The sequence below is a fragment of the Homo sapiens genome, chromosome 2 (assembly GCF_000001405.40).
Source record: "Homo sapiens chromosome 2, GRCh38.p14 Primary Assembly".
NCBI lineage: Eukaryota > Metazoa > Chordata > Mammalia > Primates > Hominidae > Homo > Homo sapiens.
In genome coordinates this window covers 191,018,614-191,039,956 of record NC_000002.12, presented here as the reverse complement: position 1 = coordinate 191,039,956, position 21,343 = coordinate 191,018,614, and the positions used below count along the sequence as shown (strand labels likewise).

At 41.0% G+C, this 21,343-nt stretch overlaps 1 protein-coding gene and 3 long non-coding RNA genes across 8 annotated transcripts in view, besides 2 other annotated features; 2 read left to right on the top strand and 2 right to left on the bottom strand.

The window, feature by feature from the left end:
• The window catches only part of STAT4 (signal transducer and activator of transcription 4), a 122,021-nt gene extending 111,640 nt beyond the window's left edge, over window positions 1-10,381 (top strand). For all 5 annotated transcript variants that reach the window (NM_001243835.2, XM_047445604.1, XM_047445603.1 and 2 more), the window contains 9 exons: window positions 660-758; window positions 3,658-3,793; window positions 5,360-5,409; window positions 5,952-6,046; window positions 6,331-6,467; window positions 6,808-6,999; window positions 8,441-8,507; window positions 8,877-8,985; window positions 10,091-10,381. In NM_001243835.2, coding sequence (NP_001230764.1) covers window positions 660-758; window positions 3,658-3,793; window positions 5,360-5,409; window positions 5,952-6,046; window positions 6,331-6,467; window positions 6,808-6,999; window positions 8,441-8,507; window positions 8,877-8,985; window positions 10,091-10,117 — 912 coding nt within the window. In that variant the 3' untranslated portion in view covers window positions 10,118-10,381. The remainder of the gene's footprint in view (window positions 1-659; window positions 759-3,657; window positions 3,794-5,359; window positions 5,410-5,951; window positions 6,047-6,330; window positions 6,468-6,807; window positions 7,000-8,440; window positions 8,508-8,876; window positions 8,986-10,090) is intronic.
• Window positions 7,643-18,431, bottom strand: STAT4-AS1 (STAT4 antisense RNA 1). Its single transcript, NR_136318.1, has 3 exons — window positions 18,402-18,431; window positions 8,860-9,072; window positions 7,643-7,785 (listed from the first exon to the last, which is right to left on the bottom strand). It is a non-coding gene; the product is annotated as an STAT4 antisense RNA 1 (long non-coding RNA).
• LOC124900514 (uncharacterized) lies at window positions 12,231-19,414 on the bottom strand. Its single transcript, XR_007087796.1, has 2 exons — window positions 18,613-19,414; window positions 12,231-14,314 (listed from the first exon to the last, which is right to left on the bottom strand). It is a non-coding gene; the product is annotated as an uncharacterized LOC124900514 (long non-coding RNA).
• LOC107985785 (uncharacterized) lies at window positions 14,300-16,817 on the top strand. Its single transcript, XR_001739163.1, has 2 exons — window positions 14,300-14,654; window positions 16,229-16,817. It is a non-coding gene; the product is annotated as an uncharacterized LOC107985785 (long non-coding RNA).
• Window positions 18,541-19,158: an enhancer, noted in NCBI's record as "H3K27ac hESC enhancer chr2:191885525-191886142 (GRCh37/hg19 assembly coordinates)". NCBI's record gives its function as "activates a minimal SCP1, AML or CMV promoter by ChIP-STARR-seq in primed H9 embryonic stem cells {active_cell/tissue: H9 hESC(primed)}" and the evidence as "EXISTENCE:reporter gene assay evidence [ECO:0000049][PMID:30033119]".
• Window positions 19,302-19,751: an enhancer, noted in NCBI's record as "active region_16877". NCBI's record gives its function as "activates an Ori minimal core promoter by ATAC-STARR-seq in GM12878 lymphoblastoid cells {active_cell/tissue: GM12878}" and the evidence as "EXISTENCE:reporter gene assay evidence [ECO:0000049][PMID:35858748]".

Sequence of the window (21,343 nt, the reverse complement as noted above, 5' to 3'; positions counted from 1 at the left end):
TTTTACCATCTACAGGAATCTGATGTCTGTTATTGGGAAAAGAGTACTGTAAGTTGATTAGTTTCCCAAGCTAATTTGTAAAAGCCTGTTTATCTCATAAAGTAGAAAACCACAGAACCAAGAGTATTAAATTGAGTTAGTTCTGTAACAATAGCACAGACGGCTCTATCTCCCATAGCTTATCTCTCCTATTTTTACAATAGAAACCTCCCACTTCCAGTGTTTATGTTAATTAGGTGTTAGGTCATAATTTGAAGGTACTGATTCATTCCAGAGATAAACTTAAAATAGATTCTTTTATTTAACTTATAGAGAAGATTGTTGCTAATTCAATAGACTCTCTAATATATTGCACTTGAGACAGTGGGTGACATTTAAAAAGTATAAATGTGTCCGCAATGTCAGGGGAGATACTGGGAAGCTGCCTGACTGAGCACTCTGAAAGGATTCCTGCTCTTTCCTCTCTGTGCCCTTACTTATGCATGCTCAGAAAGTTCCATGGCCTTCACAAGTCATTTCAGTGACCAGGGCACCATGGACATCAGGACTGGAGGTGTGGGGCTGGCTTGAGATTGGCCCTTTAGAGGCGAGGGTCAAGCATAAGATCAATGTAAGGTGGGACTACCTGTAATAACTATGCTTTTTTCCCCCCAAACCAGACCAGCTCATTGCCTGTGGTGATGATTTCCAATGTCAGTCAGTTACCTAATGCTTGGGCATCCATCATTTGGTACAACGTGTCAACCAACGATTCCCAGGTAGACTCTATTTCTACCTCAACTTCTTTAATGCTATTCGATTTGTTTTATTGCCAACAAACACATCTGCATCAAAACATGTGTGTGCCAGTGGGGTGTGGGGTGAGAGTTGCTTTATTTGTAGTATTTCTAGTTGTATGTTTCCTCTCATGTCATATTTAAAGTAGTATGTTCTGATATATGTGGACCCTGAGAGAATTCTGCTAGCAAAAGTAACAGGGATTTGTTATTTCTGAGGGTCTGGTCAGCTGCCAACTATGTGCGTACCAGAGAGTTCCAGGGCCATCCTATGACTCTGTTAACTAAGCTGAAGGAAACTTCTTACCTCCCCAGCTGCTCTGGTCCCACCTTGTCCATGCAGTCTCTTCTACAAAGGTAGAGAATTGGTTTCCAAGTAAGTAAGTAGAATATTCATCAATCTTGCCTAATCGTATTCTGACAGTGCACATTTTCAAGTGGATTACAGATTTCATCCATCCTAGGCTCAAGCTGGGTTTTAATGCTATCTGGTCGTTGTGACACTGACCCAAAATTGGCCTCAAGTCACAAAGCAAGCAGTGAATAGGTGTTCTTCTTATAAGACAACCAGGGAAGGGAGTGGCAAAAAAGATGAGTCAGCACTTCCCCTTGCACCCCTCCTTCAAAACCTCAGTGTGTTGTCCTGGAAACCACTGAGGTCTAGAGAAAATAGGTCAGATGTAAATAACAACATTTCTTCTTAATTCAGAGCAAATGTTCCCTCCAAAGGGAAGAATTCTTCTACTTTAGATCCCAGTAGTAAGAACAAGATCATAATGAATCAGCTGTTAGTGTTCTTTCTCTTTGATTCAATGTTCTAATAAGGAAACAACGAGGAAAATGACTCAGGCCTACTCCTTCTCCTCCTCAAGTGCCCTAGCATCTGAGACAAATTAATTGCAGAGAGGAAGACTGTGCAGGGTGCCCCAAAAAGAGCAGAACTTACCAGAGAAATCGCCTGATCTTTAAGGCAAAGGACAGCCAATGCCCCTGAGATTAAATGCTGATCCCCATTAGATCTACACATGTTCAGCTTTCTTCCAACTCCAGGGAGTAGAAGGAGTGATGGGATACTTCTCTGTCCTCCAGCCTCACAGAGAAGTGCTGCACTTAGCTTTCTTCAGCAACCTCCTTCTGTAAGAAAGGCACCAAAGTCGTCACACCCATCATCCCAAATTTACATGGCTCTAGGATGAGAATCTAGAGCTATAGATAATATACAGCTCCTAAAACACAGATTCACAGCCTAGTTACAGAACCAGTCTAAACAACTAATCCTGGTTTCTCCTCTTAATTCTATCCTGCTTTGAAACCTAAGCCCTTAGGCCTTGATTGTATTCTGTGCTTTCTGGTCACTTTTCCAGGCACCATTCTCAGGTTCACAAAAAACCATCTCCCTAGAAATTCTTTCTCTTCATTCCTCCTCTTCCTATTGCCCATTCCTTGTTGGATGCTGTGTCCTCTTTCATTCCCACCTTCTGAAATCTCTTGAATTGGTTCTTTTTCTTGATTAATCTAAGCCCAATTTAGCTCTTGTTCACAACGGCCTTTTCCAGGCACCGCACTGGATTTCTGAATTCTTCCTTTCCTCTTCTTGAAACATGTTTCTTGAGTTTCACACATCTGTTTTCCAGTAATCTGGGACAGAGTCTTATGTTTCACTATTGTTGACCTGGTTTCTGGCACAATCTCGTTTGTAGTCGATCACACAGAATATTCTCTTATTTAGCTGGGCACAATGGTACACACCTGTAGTTTCAGCTACTTGAGAGGTTGAGGCAAGAGAGTTTCTTGAACCCAGGAGTTCAAGTCCAGCTTGAGCAACAGAGCGAGATCATTTCTCTGTTTTTGTTTTTTTTAATTATGTAGAGCAAATAAGAAAAGACTACTATGGTGTCCATAAAATAGGTATTTGAGGTTAATCATAATATTGTAGGGTCACCTTCCCTAGCCTGGGACTTTACCATTTCTAGCACTTTGGGATGATTGGTCTGGTCAAGGTAAAATTTGTGCCAACCCCACGATAAACCAATTAAATAATATGATATAAGTTTTGTTTAGGATGAATATTGTTTTAGAAAAGAGTATCTGTCAAATTACTTTTTGGACAATGTTAAGTTCTTGCATGAGTAGACTGATACGGAAAAGTTAAAGAGATGTCAAGCGATGCTTCTGAAGAAAGATGGAGCCCTGATTATATTATACTCAAAGAACAAGGAGACTTTTAGGAAAAGACCACATCAGTCTTAAGAACAACAGAGATGAGATGATATTTTATGTTTACTTAGGTTGGCCAAAAGACTTTAAATTAGGAATCCTATATATTGAATTACAGTGTCATAAGCGTAATTGTTACTGGTGGCAAATATGTATGGATCTGCAGCAACCTCAATTCTTGCCTCCTCAGAAGAAAGAATTCAACTGAGGAGTATAGGACAGAAGGAGTGACCAAGGCAAGCTTCAGAGCAGGAGTGAAAGTTTATTAAAAAGCTTTAGAACAGTAAGAAAAGGAAGGAAAGGAAAGTACAACTTGGAAGAGGGCCAAGCGGGCAACTTGAGAAGCCAAGTGTGCAGCTTGACCTCTTGATTTGGGGTTGGCATTCTTCAGAAGTCTTGTTACTTCTCTCCACTCCTGAGATCATACTGGGAAGCTGCTGAACAGTTTTAGGTGTTTTCTATTAGGACACGCTTGTTCCCTGGCACCAGCTGTGACCAATTATGACTTTAGAGAAACAGTTAACTGCCTGACTATCACCTAATAGTCACCCAACACTCCTAGTATGTGTGTGGGGAGAGGGGGAGACCTCTCTTGCCCTGCTCACACCTCACTAGCTACCCACTGTAAGATAATTAACAAATTATCATCTTGACTCTATTTCAGAACTTGGTTTTCTTTAATAATCCTCCACCTGCCACATTGAGTCAACTACTGGAGGTGATGAGCTGGCAGTTTTCATCGTACGTTGGTCGTGGTCTTAACTCAGATCAACTCCATATGCTGGCAGAGAAGCTTACAGGTGAGAGCTGGTAGATAGAGAGGATTTGCCTCTGTTTTTGGCCCTCAGGCATTTTAAATAACCAGGACGCTATTACTACTACTAATAATAAAGATGATAATCATAATTTATTCAATGCCTACTATATTGCCAGGCACAGAACTAAGTGTTATATTATTTTTAATTCTCAGGAAAGTCCTGCAAAGCTCAGCTTATTCTACCAATTTTATAAATGACTGGATTGGAGTGCAGAAGTCAAGTGACTTGCCACGGCTGCATGGCTAGTACACAGCAGCACCAAGCCACAGGCCAGACCTGTCCAGGTCTAAAGCCCCTCCTTGTCTATTCCCCACCCCAGTCTCCAGGGTATATTTCCACTAAATATGAGGTGAACCCTTAATGGTGCCTCATATGATCGTTCATACGAACGTCTCAATTGACATTAACCAACTGGAAAATGACTGATTTCTTCACTAGGTCTAGGAAATGTAATAGAAGTTTTAAACTACCTGGGCAATACTTAATTCTGCATACCAAGAAAGTTTCAGCTTTGACTGAGATTTCTAAAGTTTGCAAAATAGAGTCACTGGTACTACATGTGCCAACTATAATCCAAACATTTTCTAAAAAGTCTCTAAGAGATCTGTATTTTGACAAGTCAGGGTTTAACATATTTAACACCAAAAAAAGAGTTAAAATTAGATCTATATGCGTTTCTAGTTAAATTAGGGCCAAAGATCCATTTGTGCAGAAGTAGAATCATGTGTGATTTAAGCTTGACTCACATGGTGCTGGGATGCTTGCCACTTGCATCTACTCTTGGATCAATAGGTACCTAAATACATTAGGACTTTGGAAAACATCACAAAATTTACTTAATGGAAATACATGTTTTGATCCTTATTTAATTCATAAGCAGCAATAGCATTCAATAAACATTTGTTAGAGTGACTAAAGCTTTTAAACATGTAGTATAGATAGAAACCATATCCTTTCAGACCTTTATCAAATTATTCTTATGAGTATAATGTCCTTAAAAATTTAGATGGAAACTCTTGCATCCTTTCACTGCTCTGGATCAAAACAGCCAATGGCTACTATCTAATAGATTTCTAGTCCATTCTTTCCATCTTAATAGGCAACATTCCTGGTAATCTAGCTATACCTAACTTACACAAATTTGTTTTATAATGTTCATTTACCGACATTAGGCAGCTCTTCCTGTCTCCAACGTGAGCCTTCTCCATGTCCATCATGCTTCGTCCTATATTACTCTTGCTCTCTGGAGTGGCCTCCTTCATCTCCTCTGACAATTTATATTCTACCCATACATATCCTAGATACCCACCTGCTTTCTAAAGCCATTGTTAGCTCCTCCACCAAAAAGCTTATTTTCTAGATAATAAATTTCTTAGGAACAAGGATGATGTCTTGTATTTGTACTGTACCTAGCACTCAGTACATTGCAAACCCATATCAAGTGCTTAAGAAATGCTTGAAAGGGAAGAGGCAAAATATCTAAATTGAGCACAAAATTGAAGCATCTCATTGTCCAGTGAAAAATTTCATTCTTTTCTTTCATTTCAGTCCAATCTAGCTACAGTGATGGTCACCTCACCTGGGCCAAGTTCTGCAAGGTACAAACGGTCGGGGAAACATCATTTAGATACATTTTTTTAATACAATGTTCCTTTCTAAGTCTATTACTACATGGGGTTTTGAGAATTTCCCAGATAAGAATTTTTCTTTTTTTTTTTTTTTTGAGATAGAGTCTTGCTCTGTCACCCAGGCTGGAGTGCAGTGGCGCAATCTCGGCTCACTGCAAGCTCTGCCTCCCGGGTTCATGCCATTCTCCTGCCTCAGCCTCCTGATTAGCTGGGACTACAGGCACCCACCACCACGCCCGGCTAATTTTTTCATATTTTTAGTAGAGGTGGGGTTTCACCGTGTTAGTCAGGATGGTCTCAATCTCCTGACCTCATAATCTGCCCGCCTTGGCCTCCCAAAGTGCTGGGATTACAGGCATGAGCCACCACACCAGGCCAAGAATATTTTTTAAAGAAATTAAGGTGTTGTCCAGTTTAAAGATAATATTTTGGTGAAAAATTGAACTTAAATTATTATATCAACATTATTACTTAAATAATCATTGTCTTAATGTGCTTGTCTATTCCTGTAGGAACATTTACCTGGTAAATCATTTACCTTTTGGACATGGCTTGAAGCAATATTGGATCTAATTAAGAAACACATTCTTCCCCTTTGGATTGATGGGTAAGTTATAGGCTATATTTTTCATATGAGTTAATTATGTTCTTTTTTTCTGTTGTTATTGGTTTTCTTCTTTCTTTTTCTCTTAAGCATGTTTAGTACCACAGAAAAAAATAGTTGCAATTTCTTATTCTTTGTGGAGTGGCACTATGTATATTAATCTATATATGAGTATTTCAGGTAAGAATGACTTTTGATTACACTCAAAACAAACTGTAGGTCTTTGTAAATGCAATAAGTGAAAATCCAATAATGATCAGATGAAATAATGCATGTTCTATTTTTAGGTATGTCATGGGCTTTGTTAGCAAAGAGAAGGAACGGCTGTTGCTAAAGGATAAAATGCCTGGCACCTTTTTATTAAGATTCAGTGAAAGCCATCTCGGAGGAATAACTTTCACCTGGGTGGACCATTCTGAAAGTGGTATATACTCACTAATGTTTATTCATGTGAAATTAGTTTTCTTAAATTTGGTTACTGGGATTTCAGTTTTTGGAAGTGTATGGTGTGTTGATCTGTCTGTGATGTATTCAGTGGGCTTGAATATTAGTAGTTGCAGTTGTCTCAGAACAGGGTACCTATGAATTCCAAAAAGTCTATCGTATGCACAATCTATACTGTCCAGACAGCAGAAGGTCTGACATTGAAGTGACATGAACTGACAAGTCACTCCAGTGGCATGAAGATAATGTGGGCAGGGAAGAAATGGTCACAAGGAATGTGTACAGGAACCTGTATATTTCTCCAATTTCTGTTTTTCAAGGGGAAGTGAGATTCCACTCTGTAGAACCCTACAATAAAGGCCGGTTGTCTGCTCTGCCATTCGCTGACATCCTGCGAGACTACAAAGTTATTATGGCTGAAAACATTCCTGAAAACCCTCTGAAGTACCTATATCCTGACATTCCCAAAGACAAAGCCTTCGGTAAACACTACAGCTCTCAGCCTTGCGAAGGTTAGGTTTTTCTGTTTGTTTTTGTTTTTTTTTCCTTAAGATTTTGGAAAATAACCTCATATTGGAGCAAAGTAAATGAAGTTCCCCTTCTTGTTTACTCTGATTTCTGTAAGATCTAAGGGCATGTGGAGGTCAAAGCCTTAGAAATGAAGTGGTATGTCAGCAGTTCCTGAAAAGGGACCGCTGGGCTTTCTAACACTAGCGAGTAATAAGCAGCTGTAACTAAACTTCACCATGGCCATGGGGGCCTCTCATAGCCACTTGGAGAGCTTCAGTTTTCTCCTTTGTAAGACAGAAGTGGTGCAGGCTTCATGTCTATGACTGAGGGAAAGGAAAAGAAAGAGGGGGTAATGATGAGAAGCTTTTAATAGTAAAACAAGTCTGTATATTGCAAAGGAACCCCAGGGTTTATAAGTTTTATATTTTTAACCTTACTGTAGTCTTACAACTCAGGGTATTTGTTCATTTGCTAGGGAGGGGACCTGTGGATCTCTGCTTCATCCTCTCCCTCCCCCACACTCCCAGCCTACCTTTCCTGGTTGTATCCTAGGACCTAGAGCAATGTCTGGCTAAAAGAGGGATTCAGTAAATATTTGTTGAATACATAAAAGAAAATTTGTTAAATTACTATGCAATTTTAAGGTACGTTCACCATTCTGTTTCTTTAATGAAAGTGTATACAATCCATAAAAATCTTCATCTATAGCACTAAATCTTTGGGCACCATCATGTAGAATATCCTACAGTTGTCACTCACAGACTTGCAGCCACCTGACTTCATGCCCTCTGAAATAAACAAAAATACAAAAGAAAATAAAATCAAACAAACCTGTGGCTTTTCAGTGACTTTCAACAACTGATAAAAATGAAATAACAAATATCAATGCAACAAATTAGGGTTGGAAAATTGGAACAAATACTAGTTCAACATGGTATACCAGAGAAGTTTGGGGAATTTTTCCAAGGTGAGGTTTGCACATGACTGTTACTACAGTACAATGATACTTTTGGGAACACTGACATCTGTACTTCAAGAACGTTTGCAATCATAAGATTCTGATTGGTGTCAATTTTAATGAAAAGAACTGGGTTATTATATCTCCCAAAACATGACTCAATCAGTCCTTATAATCAAACATAAATGAAACGTAGAAAACAGGTAATAGAGTTGATTCTCAATTTTTCCCACACAGTTTAGAGGCATTAATATGTAAAGTCAGATTAGGCCTGCCAAGAGATTTGTTTTTCTCTTCTTGCACATTTTATGCTTATCTAAAAGATTGTGTCCCCTATTTAACAAAACATTTCTGTGTATCACCGAACAACTGCGTTATCTCTCTTCCTCTTATCATTGTTAATATTTTTCTAGACTCTTTTTTCCCCAGTTTTATTGATAATATTGACATTTTTTTCCCCAACATTGTGCCTTTTTGTTTTCCAGTTTCAAGACCAACAGAAAGGGGTGACAAAGGTTATGTTCCTTCTGTTTTTATCCCCATCTCAACAATGTGAGTAATGTTAGTCACATGTGAAATATTTTTATAAAAAGCTTTCCTATAGGAGATTTAAAGGTAGAGCAGAGTACACATAACTGAGAACAAAGCATTGTAATGTGCAATGTCCCATTTCCTTTAATACATAAGGCTAGCCTTCAGGGCACACTTACCACAATCTATTGTGCCTAAAATTATAAAATTCCCCTTTTATATGCCATATATGCCACAGTAAGTTGAGTGTTCTGATATGAAATGATGAATTAGATAACTCAATGTCACAAATAGATGAAGCCCTAGAAATGAGTTCCTGACATAGTAAGTCACCGTGAACTATTATTATTTTTTAATCCTTGTCCATATTGACCTTGTTATCTCTTTAAGCCGAAGTGATTCAACAGAGCCACATTCTCCATCAGACCTTCTTCCCATGTCTCCAAGTGTGTATGCGGTGTTGAGAGAAAACCTGAGTCCCACAACAATTGAAACTGCAGTATGTTCCCTTTATTTTCCATTGCTGGTCAAAGGTGTTTCCAACGATGCAAAGGTGGTGTGTGAATCAAAGGGGCTGAAATACTGCCTGGGTAGGGAGAAAACACATTTATTGGAACAAATTCATGAGCATAACACAAAAGGTGTCTGGATGGTCCTGCGTGTTGCTGATATTATGCGTATTGAAAGCAGACACCTTCAGTTACTTAAACTGCTTTACGTTGTTTCCACCAGAAACCACCAGAGGGCAAAATATTCCTATACCCTACTCAAGCACACTATCGCTGCTTGCACCATGGGCCCCCTCACTCCCCACCACTCTCTACTTTAGCAAACACCATTTATTGGTCAATATTTATAAACCTAGTATACTATCTAGTTTACTAGTTACTTACTATCTAGTAAACCCAGTTTGCTATCTTAACAGTGCAAACATCACAAATTGCAATTTTTCTTGATTGTGACTTGCATTTCTAGAACCCGGAGCCTCATCAATAATATATGAATAACAGTCAATGGCATAATAATGCTCTCCTTTTTGAGAAATGAGTCATAATCTTTAATGCAATAATGTTATTTGGGATGCATGCTATTTGCTCTTATCCACCAATACTGTCAATGGGTTCAAACCCCCAATTTACATGAAAGTGAACATACATCAGAATAATATAATAGAAACTTGGAGAGACCCTAAGCCTCAAAAAATTTTTATCTGGCTGGCTTTTAGTCCTTCTCTTGAAGATTTCCATAGATGAAAAATTCACTTTACTTTGATAGCTTATTCTAATGTTAGTTCCCTTAAATCGTCAAGTTATTTATGTCTAACTGAACATTTGCTACATTTTGCACCCATTTCCTCATTATGTTTTTGGTGGATAAACAGGCCTTTTTCTTAAAACACTTTTCTGTCTCCTTGAAAGGTACCTTTTATTTTAGACTGATCAACCCCAATTACTTTTGCAAATACTTAGTTTAAGTATTTTAACTAGGTAATAGAAAAATTATGGAGTAATTCGTAGAAAAGAGGACGTTTATTTGCCCAAGAAATAGTGATTGATTTGAAAACCAGTAGTTTCCTCAAAGATTATTTTCATTTTTAATTTTAGATGAAGTCTCCTTATTCTGCTGAATGACAGGATAAACTCTGACGCACCAAGAAAGGAAGCAAATGAAAAAGTTTAAAGACTGTTCTTTGCCCAATAACCACATTTTATTTCTTCAGCTTTGTAAATACCAGGTTCTAGGAAATGTTTGACATCTGAAGCTCTCTTCACACTCCCGTGGCACTCCTCAATTGGGAGTGTTGTGACTGAAATGCTTGAAACCAAAGCTTCAGATAAACTTGCAAGATAAGACAACTTTAAGAAACCAGTGTTAATAACAATATTAACAGAAGACTCGCTTGCCTGTGTTTGGTTTATTTCTCATTTTGTCTCTCTGGTGTTACTACGATTTTAGCTAGAAGATGTAAGTGTTAATGTTTCAGGGTAGGTCAAGAATAATAAAGTCACACCTACACCTCAGCAAGAAGGCGTGAGGGAAAAGCCAAATAAGCCAATCAGTATGATGAACGCTAGCAGGCATGGTGATCACAGTAGATCCAAGAGGAAAGTCGTGATGGGACATTAGCAGAAATTCACGGGGCATCCAGGGTTGAATTATGAAGCCTCCTTAGTGCCATGTCAACGTTATTCCAACTATGGGGTTCAACAGCTGCTGGTTCCAAAGGAGGAGGGATCCAGAGTCATTCCTGGTGGTATCTTGGGCAAACTGCACTGATTTTACAGGTATTGTAAGCAGACACATGGGTTAAAAAAATAATAATTTAAAAAAACTCATGAGGACTAGGAGGATGAAATGAGGACTAGGAGAATAACAACTCTGGCCTTGGGTAACTGATTTTATTCATAGGTTGCTCATTCTTCATCTCTAGAAGAGGTAAGACTATGTGGGTTCTATGATCTTTCCCAGCTCTAATAGTCTCTCTGGTCCTAAGAATCCAACCTGAGACTGGGGAAAGAGGTTTAGGATGAGATGTTCCATTCCTTCAATTTTCTCTAGTAAAGAGGAAGGGTAGTTGGTTTCCTGGATAGTAATGTATGTGAATTGCAAGTCTATTTTGGTCCTTGCCTCACCCCTACTGGATGTTTAGTGGTGCCATTGCCCAGCTGCTGTCCTTAGTAATAGCATGGAGCTCTCCAGTGCTCAAGACCTGGAGAGCTCTCTATGCCTGCTGAGCCCTGGGGATGCTGCTGAATCTGTTGAGCAAGTAATGCTACTGAGGCATCTGCCATGCCAGCTGCAGAAAAATCCAGAACCAGGTTTCAAGATGAGCCCTGACTGCAGAGTCAGAGATGGCAGCCCCCTCTGAAGGGCTCTTATTTCATTCCTTCTGCCCACCTCCTGTCCTCCAGGCAAACCAAATAGGCAGAGGCTAATGTTTGATGGAAAAGAGTTCAAAGGAATAAAAGCTTTTACTATAACCTGCCCTTTCCCTTAGAGAGATTCCATCTGAGCAATCTCATCCCACCCACATGTGCCCAACTGGCTCCTAGATTATTCCTATGGAACAAACTCTCCACCTGCCCCAAGGCCAGTTCCTTTACTCCTTTGTGAGCGCCTAAATGCTTTTAGGGTGGAGGCATCTGTTTGATGGAAGGGTGCATCTAACTGGAGGTGCATCCTCCCAGTCTCTACTTCTCTCCACAAAACCCGGTTTTCTAAAATTTGCCTGACACGTGTATCAACTGGCAGCAGAATTGGATGAAATAATTTAAACTGGAGCATGACTATTACAGTTTTATCTTTAAAGAAGTAATTTCCTACCAGGAAGTGCTCTTAAACAATTGGATTTAGACAAAATAGATTGCAGAAGCTCTTTGCTCCCTGGAATTTATCAAAAGTACAATGGACTCCTACCTATTTCACAGAAGTTTTAAAAACTTGTCAATTTAGAGCCTGGTAGCAGAATGCCAAGGTTTTCTATGTGATCACAGTCATCATTGTTATTTGGGGGTACAAAATGAAGGACATCTGTAGTTCATTTTCCATAATATGGACAATGGCCACGTTATAAAAGTTCAATAAGTGGCTATTTTTATTTAGATTCAGAAAATCAAAACTAAATTATTGACCCCAGAGTTAAGAGTTATTTCTCAAGATTGTGAATCTTGTACTCCAAAAATCATTTTTGTGGGGGTGTCTTATTTCATTTTGTGTTGCTATAAAGGAATACCTGAGGCTGGGTAATTCATAAAGAGATTTATTTGGTTTTGCAGAGTGCACAAGAAGCATGGAACCTGCATCTGCATGTGAGGCCCTTAGGCTGCTTCTACTCATGGCAGAAGGCAAAGGGAAGCCGGTGTATGTAGAGATCACATGGCAAGAAGCGAAGCAAGAGAGAGAGTGGGGAGGTGCCAGGCTCTTTATAACAACCAGCTCTTAAAAGAACCAACAGAGTAAGAATTGTATTCATGCCCTGCACCATAGGAGGGTATTAATCTATTCATAAGTCCACCCTCTGACTCAAACACCCGCCACTAGGTCTCACCTCTAACATTGGGATCAAATTTCAACATGTGATTTGGGGAGACAAACATCCAAACCATAGCATTCCTCCCCTGGCCCCCCAAAACTCATGTCTTCTTCATGCTGCAAAATATAATCATCCCTTCTCAATAGTTCCAAAAGTCTTAACTTGTTCCAGCATCAACTTCAAAATCCAAAGTCCCATCTGAGACTCAAGGCGAATTAACTGTGAAATCAAAAACAAGTTGTTTCCTTCCAAGATACAATGGTGGTACATGTATTGGATAAACAGTCCCATCCCAAAAGGGAGAAATCATTCCAAAAAAAAAGGAGTAACAGTCCCCATCAAGTCCAAAACCCAGCAGGACAGATGTTAAATTTTAAAGCTCCAAAATAATCCTTGACTGTATGTCTTGCATCCTGGGTACACTGGTATGAGGAGTGGACTCCCACAGTCTCAAGCAGCCCTACTCCCAAGGCCACTGGCTGCTCTCACAGGTTGGAGTTGAATGCCCATGGCTTTTCCAGGCTGAGGCTGCACACTGCTGATGACTATAATTCTTGGGTCCTTGCAGCAGCAGCCCCAATCCCATGGCTCCCCTAGGCATTACCCCAGAGAGGACACTCTGTGTTGGCTCTGCCCCGCAGCAGACTTCTGCCTGGGCATCCAGGCTTTCCAATACATCCTCTGAAATCTAAGTGGAAGCTGCCAAGCCTCCATGACTTTTGCATTCTGGGCACCTGCAGACTTAATACTGTGTAGACACCAGCAAGACTTATGGCTTATGCCCTCCAGAGCTGTGACATGACTCACACCTGGGGCCACTGAGGCCATGTGAGCCATGGCTGTGCCATCCGGAGTGGTGGGGATACAGGAAGCAGCAGACTGGTCACAGGGGAGCAGTCTCTAGGCCTGTCCTCTACCCAAACCATTCTGTCATCCTAGGATTCTGGGCCTATGATGGAGGGGTCAGCCTCAAAGTTTTCTGAAATGCCTTCAGGGCCTTTTTCACATCGTCTTGACTAGTAACACTTGGCTCTGGTTTAGTCACACTAATCTCTTTAGCAATGGTTGCTCTGTAGCACCCTCAGATTCCTCAAACTCTTGGATTCCTTGCCTACAAATGCTCTTTCCTTCTCTATCACATGGCCAGGCTATGAAATTTCCAAATTTTTACACTTTGCTTCCCTTTTAATTATAAATTCCACTTTCTAGTCATTCCTTAGCTCCCATAATTTAGCATAGGCTTTTAAAAGTAGCCACACCACTTCTTGAGTACTTTGTTGCTTAGCAATTTCTTCTGCCAGATACCCTAGGTCATCATTCTTAAGTTCAGCCTTCTATAAAGCCATAGGGCCTAGACACAATGCAGCCAAGTTCTTTGCTACTGTTTAACAAGGGTGACCTTTGCTCCAGTTTTCAATAAGTTCTTCATTTCCATCTGAGACTTCCTCAGCATGACCTTTATTGTCTATATTTCTATCAGCATTTTGGTCACAACCACTAAATCAATCTCTAAGAAGTTCCAACCAGGCACGGTGGCTCACACCTGTAATCCCAGCACTTTGGGAGGCCGAGACGGGTGCATCACGAGGTCAGGAGATCGAGACTATCCTGGCCAACATGGTGAAACCCTGTCTCTACTAAAAAATACAAAATTAGCCAGGTGTGGTGGCACACAGCTGTAGTCTCAGTCTTGGGAGTCTGAGGCAGGAGGATCACTTGAATCCAGGAGGCAGAGGTTGCAGTGAGCCAAAATCGTGCCACTGCACTCCAGCCTGGCAACAGAGCGAGACTCCATCTGAAAAAAAAGAAAAAAAGAAGTTCCAAACTTCTTCTGAGTCCTCCAAACTCTTCCAAACCTCTGCCCGTTATTCAGTTTCAAGCCACTTTCACATTTGCAAGTATCCTTAATGCAACCCCCAGTCCTCAGTATCAATTTTCTGTCTTAGTCTGTGTTGTGTTACTCTAAAGGAATACCCAAAGCTAGGTAATTTATAAACAATAGAGCTTTATTTTGCTTATGGTTCTGCAGGCTCTACAAGAAGCATGGCACTGGTACCTGCATCTGATGAAGGCCTTAGGCTGATTCCACTTATGGAGGAAGGGGAAGGGAAGCTGGGATATGCAGAGATCACATGGTGAGAGAGGAAGCAATGAGTAGGGAAGGCACGTGGTTTTCTTAGTTTCAAAATATTAATCACATTTTCACCTCTCCTTTCACTCATCCCAGATCAATCACAGATACATATTTTGCTAATGACTATTCAAATTTATTTTAAAGAATCACTTTAACTAATTGTTCTGATTATCAATGCCTTCATCTGTAATAAATGCTGAAAGAAGGCAACTAGCCAATGAATTTCATCAAAATCTAAGGTGGCAAGAACCCCACCCCACCAAAGAATCATAAAGAATGAATATACCTCTGGCAAATTCAAGGGATTTTTCTTTACCTCATGCAGTTTGGGAGGCCCATGCAACTCTCCACAGTAAAAGAAACAGAATTAAAAGTCAAGCCATCCCAGTATTCTGCTCTAGCTGTAGACAGACAGTCCACGCTTAGCATTTGGCCTCTGTGCACACATACTCCAATTTCTGACACAGAGTAAAGATATCTTTTTTTCCAAATTGACCAGGAACATTTATTGATTTTATTGATGCACTTTTTAAAGTCTGGTTTATTGGCATATAATTTACATACAGTAAAATTCACCCTTTTGGGTGTGTCAGCTTATGAATTCTGACAAACTCATATAGTTGTATAACCACCACTATAAGACAGAAGATTTCTACAAGAGCACTCACAAAGAGGATGCCATAAAAACATGGGGAAGGACATTCTCTCTTTCCTTACAGTAAATATAAAAAACAATTTCATGCAGCTTCATATGTAGACAGAGGGCTCTACTTAAATTGGATAATTTCACTCCCTACTTAAAATTTTTGAATGGCTCATGATGCTCTGCATTAGCAGTTCTTGTCTGGGGTGTATGGACAGAATTCAAAGGGCTCATGAATTTAGATGGCAAAAGTTACAGTTTTACTTCCACTAACTTCTAACTACAGTTAATTTCCTTCAATTATATGGGCAGCAAACCATAACCCATACCACGTTTATATCATATTATAATTATTAAAGTCATCTCAAAATATTGTTTATGCTAAGCACAATTTTGAAATTGCATTAATTGGACCCACTGCTAAATCCTATTATTTAATGCCATTAGTAAATAAGTGCATGGCTAGGTGCAGTGGCTCATGCCTGTAATTCCAACACTTTAGGAGGCTGAGGTGGGAGGATCACTTGAGCCTCAGGGTTTGAGACCAGTCCAGGAAACACAAGGAGACCCCATCTCTACTCAGAATATATATATATATATATATATAGAATTTTTTTTTAAATTAGCCAGGTGTGGTGGTATGCACCTATGGTCCCAGCTACTCTGGAGGCTGAGGTGAGAGGATCGCCCAGGAGGTCTTGGCTGCAGCCAACCGTGCTCATGCCACTTCACTCCAGCCTGGGTGACAGAGTGAGACTCTGTCTCAAAAAAAAGAAAAAAAAAGAATCATTTATATTACTATGTCACAAAGTTGGTTTTAATATATCACAAAGTTGGCCCGATATCAGTATTTCAATGTAATTGGTTTTCTTTTGAATCTTATGCATCTTATCTTATTCAACTAAAAACATTATTTTCTGAAAAACTTACAGGTTTCATCAGACTGCCAAAGAGGTCCATGTCACAAAAACTAGTTAAGAATCCCAGCTTTGGATAAAGACCACAATTCGCAACAGATCTTTCCAAAGTCACGTATTATTTAGTCCCCTCTTAGTCTTCAACTCATCTCTCTTCACTCCTCCCCAACAGCTTCTTATCCACCAAAACATCTGCACACAAGACTGACTGAACTACTTTCAGTTTCTTTGATGGCCCATGTTCTCTCTGTTTCCCCTGCCACATCCTCTCAATTCTCCAACCCCATCCCATATATCCCTGCACCTGGATAATGTTTACGCATTCTTCAGGCTCTGGAAAGCCTTCCTGCCAAACACACACACATACATACACACACACACACACACGCATGTGTGCGCATGGCTCAGGTCATGCCACGCTTCCTCCATAGCATCCTCTACATCCCCGGCACAGTGCTTATCTCCTTTGGTGTAAATGATATCATCTATTTTCCTCAATAGACTCTAAGCAAGCTCTGTATGTACATGGACCAAGACAGCCCTGCTCACAGTTATATCCCTGGAATCTAGTACAATCTGGCCCTGAATAAATATTTATTAATGATTTGGTGTTTGGACACATCAAGAACAGTCATTAGTTCCTTCCTTTCCTTTGCTCCTTGGGCTGCCTGCAAAACTAAGCTGAAATTCTCTTCCTAACAGCTCCAAACTCTAAAATCATGAAACAGCCCCCAATGTTATGCTTCATCCTGATTAACCAAAACACACTTGCTTTTGATCACACAGAGAGGACTTCCTCCCTACCTCACCCTGAACTTCCAATAGACATTGTCTAGAATTACAGTTTATAAGCTCACTCTAACTTCCCTTTGATGCTAGGTATTATCTCATGCATGCCTAACATCCTAGACATCTACCTACTCATAGATGAACCAAGTGTTCCTGAAATTTCCCCTAAACTCTCCATTACACTCAAGGGCATTACTACTTCTGCCCCTAGTAAAAGTCCTCCACAAAGAATGGCATGAACCCGGGAGGCAGAGCTTGCAGTGAGCCGAGATGGCACCACTGCACTACAGTCTGGGCGACAGAGCAAGACTCCGACTCAAAAAAAAAAAAAGTCCTCCACAACACTCTTATGTCAGGCTTGACAGTCATCTTCTTAGACATCTCACAGACTGATAGACTGCCGCAAACGGAAAGAACTCTGCCGTCCAGAGAGGGCAGAGAGAGGGGAGAGGTTGGAAGGGGTGTGAAGGAGTAGAGCTCTCATTAAAAGTCCTTTAGGGAAGTTTTTTGCGCTATGCATGCTCATTATTCTCTTCCCCCCTCAATTGTGGCTCGATAGGTCTTAGAGCCAGTGCTGAGATCTGAATGGCTGAATTAACCTGTGATTCCTGATCTCAGTGTTGGTCAGTGACGTTCATTTATTCATTCAAAAAATATTTTTGAAATATTTGAAAATGCCTGTATCAGGCATTGCTTTGCTTAACCAGGGTTTCTGAACCACAAGACACAGAAAGTGATTTGCTTGACGATTTTCTCAGTTCTCCCAGGGATGGCATACAGTGACATTCTAGATATACAGGAGAGCAGGGAATTCATTACACACATAGATACCCTGGGGGATTAGACTGAATTGTCTCATGGAATACTGGATGGAAAAGGCTGTTAACACAGAACAAACTCCCTCCTGTTGTGAACTTACACGCTGGCGAGGAGAGATGAAAACAGACAAATAATAAACAGGGATAGGTTTAACAAGTGTTATGAGGATTGCAAGTGTGATACAGTCACTGGAAGAAGCAATCAATGAGGGTGTCTTTGAGGAGATGATGACTGAACTGAGACCTAGAGAATGGGAAGGAGGCAGTCCATGAACACAGTCAGGAAAACAGCATCCCAAAAGACCAGTGTATGTATGCATAGGGCTCAGGCAGGTAAAAACTTGGGGTATCTGAGGAACAGAAAGAGGCTAAGGGGATTGAGGGGAGCCTAGTGAAGTATGGGGTGAGATAAGATGAGTAAGAGGGGTAGGTGAGCCCAAATTGGCGGGCCCTGGATTCTTATTGCAAATTGAAGCCAGCAGAGGCTTTTAAACAGGTGAGTGGTGTTATAAAATTTGTTTCTTCATTTAAGTGAACATCGAACAAGGTTGCTATACAAGAAATGCCCCCAAATTCCCCACCTAGGTCTGGCTTCCACAGGGCAGGCACTCAGAAGGGCTCCACGCTTGGCTTCATGCTCTCCTGTTGCCTTCTTGAAATTCTTCATTAATTTTGAGTAAGGGACCCCACATTTTCATTTTGCAACGGGCCCTCCCTGCAAATTACATAGCTGGTCCTGTGTTGTTCTAACAGGGGAAAATAAACGTCTATTTGCATAGTAGGACTCTGTACCTTAGGGTCTTGTTTGTGTGCAGCCATTTTGGGGCTGGTCGTCACTCTCACAAGAGGCTGGAGGTTGGGGCCCAATGAGGTAGGTAGGCCCTTTCACACACTGGAGGTTCTAGGTGGGTGCCGAGTTCACCCTAAGAAGGTAGAGCCCCTTAAGAGTAGGCGAGCAGAGCCCAAAGAAACTCAGTCTCGTGCCTCCTAGAACCATTGAGTAAGTCACAGACATTACACAAAACTCTTGTTTCCTCAGCCAGCCGAACTTTCGAAATCATTGTCCAGTGACTAAGCATTCTCCATTATACTTCTCCCACGTTCCTTCTGGTATAATCACCACAACTGAGAAGGCATGGGGGCGAGAAGACCCCAGAAGAAAGAGGCAAGCCCCTTGCAGACCGAGCCTGAGGACGCCTATAGAAACTGCCAGACCCCAACCTCTGGTTCAAGGGCAGCTACCCAGGCTGGCTGAGGGTCACAGCTTACCAGACAGGACAAGATCTGAGTCAGTGCAAGTGCAAACTGTGTAGATAGCGAAGTGAAGCGGGTAAAAGAGACCTTTTCAGGACAAGGAAAGAAACGGTGGAAGTGCAAGGGTAAGGTTTCCAGCACCTTAGGTGCAGAAATCAGGACACGTTTCCCTCCCTCCCTCTAAGGTGAAACGGCAGCCACCCGCGCCTCCGCCTTCCGTCGTGTGCAGAGCTAACACTCGCGCGTGCGGGCCGCGTGGACCGGCCTCTCTGGGACCCCGTCCCGCAAGCCGATCTGCAGCCCCAGGGCGAGCGTGCGAGCAGTGCGCCCGCCGCCAGGGAGAAACCGTTGGGAGGAAGCGGGCTGCGGGAAAGCCCCGCTGCGCCTGCGTGCTGCGCCTGCGTACTGCTCCCGCAGGCTCTAACTTTCGCTTTTCGGTTTCCTCTCAATCCCAGTCCTTCTCGCTCCCGGGCAGTTTCCCCGAAAGCACGTGGGGCGGCTCTTCCGAGCACTCGCGTCCCTCCCGCCGCGCGCGCCGGGCCAGCTGTTTCCGAAGCGGTTCAAACTGCACCGCGCAAAGCCAGGGGCGTGGGCGGGCCCGGGCTGCTCTACCTGCGCTCGGAAAGCTAGGGCTCCAAAGCGTTCCTGAGCGGTTTTTGACCGCGAATGTGATAGTGCTCATGGTAAACACTGAAAATAAATTACATAGACATATCTTACTACCCAGACACATTAACATTTTAGAGTATTTTTCCTTCTCCCTCTCTGTTTCCATTTATTTACATTTCTATATATTATTACAATAATAGGATAATACTGTCTATGTTTTCTTTCCTTCATTTTCATTTAATTTTATACGTGGATATTTTCCAATGTGAAATTAAATAGTCTTTGAGAGCCTAACTTTGATATTCTACTATATGAATTGTGCTTTAACTGACAGTTGGAAAATTCAGTTTCTGATTTTTCACTGTTACTAATGAAGCTGCTATGAACATCATTCTGCATAAATCTTTCATCTATATCTGATCACTTCCTTATAGCAGATTTCTGTAAGTTCAAGAATATTATAAAAACTTCCAAAAAAAGATTGTGTTCCCTACATTATAATCGTCAATATAATTCTGGTCGATGTGTTATTTTTCCTTCATGTAAAGAACACAGCTTGCTTGCATATGGCCATTTTCCTAAAAGTATTCATAGCTTTCCTCCATATTGGGATGAAATATGTCATGTACATATTGCAGTTTTGTTCAAACCGTGATATGCATCCCTGCATTTTAACCAGCTGCTATGTAGGAGGCCTCTTGTACTTATTAACTGGAAAGAAAATACACACACCAAGACAGGTAAGTGACTGTACAAAACCCAAATCCAGAGAACTACAAGAAATGATAGAAATCTTTTATTTCAATTCTATTATATTACAGATGAACAAATACAGTTTACACTGATGAAGTGACATTCACAGTATAATAGCAAGCCTTACAGAAAGGAGGAGAGGTGAAGAGGCATTGACTGGAATTTTTAGAAATTCCTACTATCAGATATTTAGCTTATAACATTATTAGAAACATTGGGACAATATAGCTGAAATGCAAAATGGTAGCTGGAAGGAGAGGGAAAGTTAAAACATATTACTACAGATTGGTTCATCAGATTTGTAGCTGTCATTTTGAAATAGATCAAGGCTGTAAAGAAAGCACAGAGCCAGTAAGTTTTTTTTAATAGGAATGTGGTAAGGACACAGATAAAGTATTCCTTAAGGATGAGAGACTCCAGGGGAAATTCCCATGGTTGGGAAGGGCAATGGACCTGTTCCACTTAATTAAGTTCCACTTACTTGTTTTAGAATTCAGTTGTAGGATGTTTTGCTTCATTTCATAAATTCTTTATGAGTGATCTATTGCTGCATAACAGACGAAACTATTCCCAAAACTTTGGTAAAACATCAACCATTTATCAGTGCTTGTGAGTCTAGGGTATGCTGGGGAGTTCAGTTCACCTGGGTCAGGCCCCCACTTTATCTTGCCTGGGTTCTCTCATAAATCTGAGGTCTAAACTTGAACAACTACTGTGATTCAACTGTGGTCTGTGTGGTCTCTCATGCTCCTGCAAGCTAGCCGGACTTCTCATGGAGGCTGGGCAGGGTTTTGAGAGCGGAGTGTGTAAGGCCTCTTGAGGCCTAGACTCTAAATGTCACAATGTCACATCTGCTGCAAGGTGGGGAAATAACAGAGCAGGGAATAATCTGGCCATTATTGAAAAT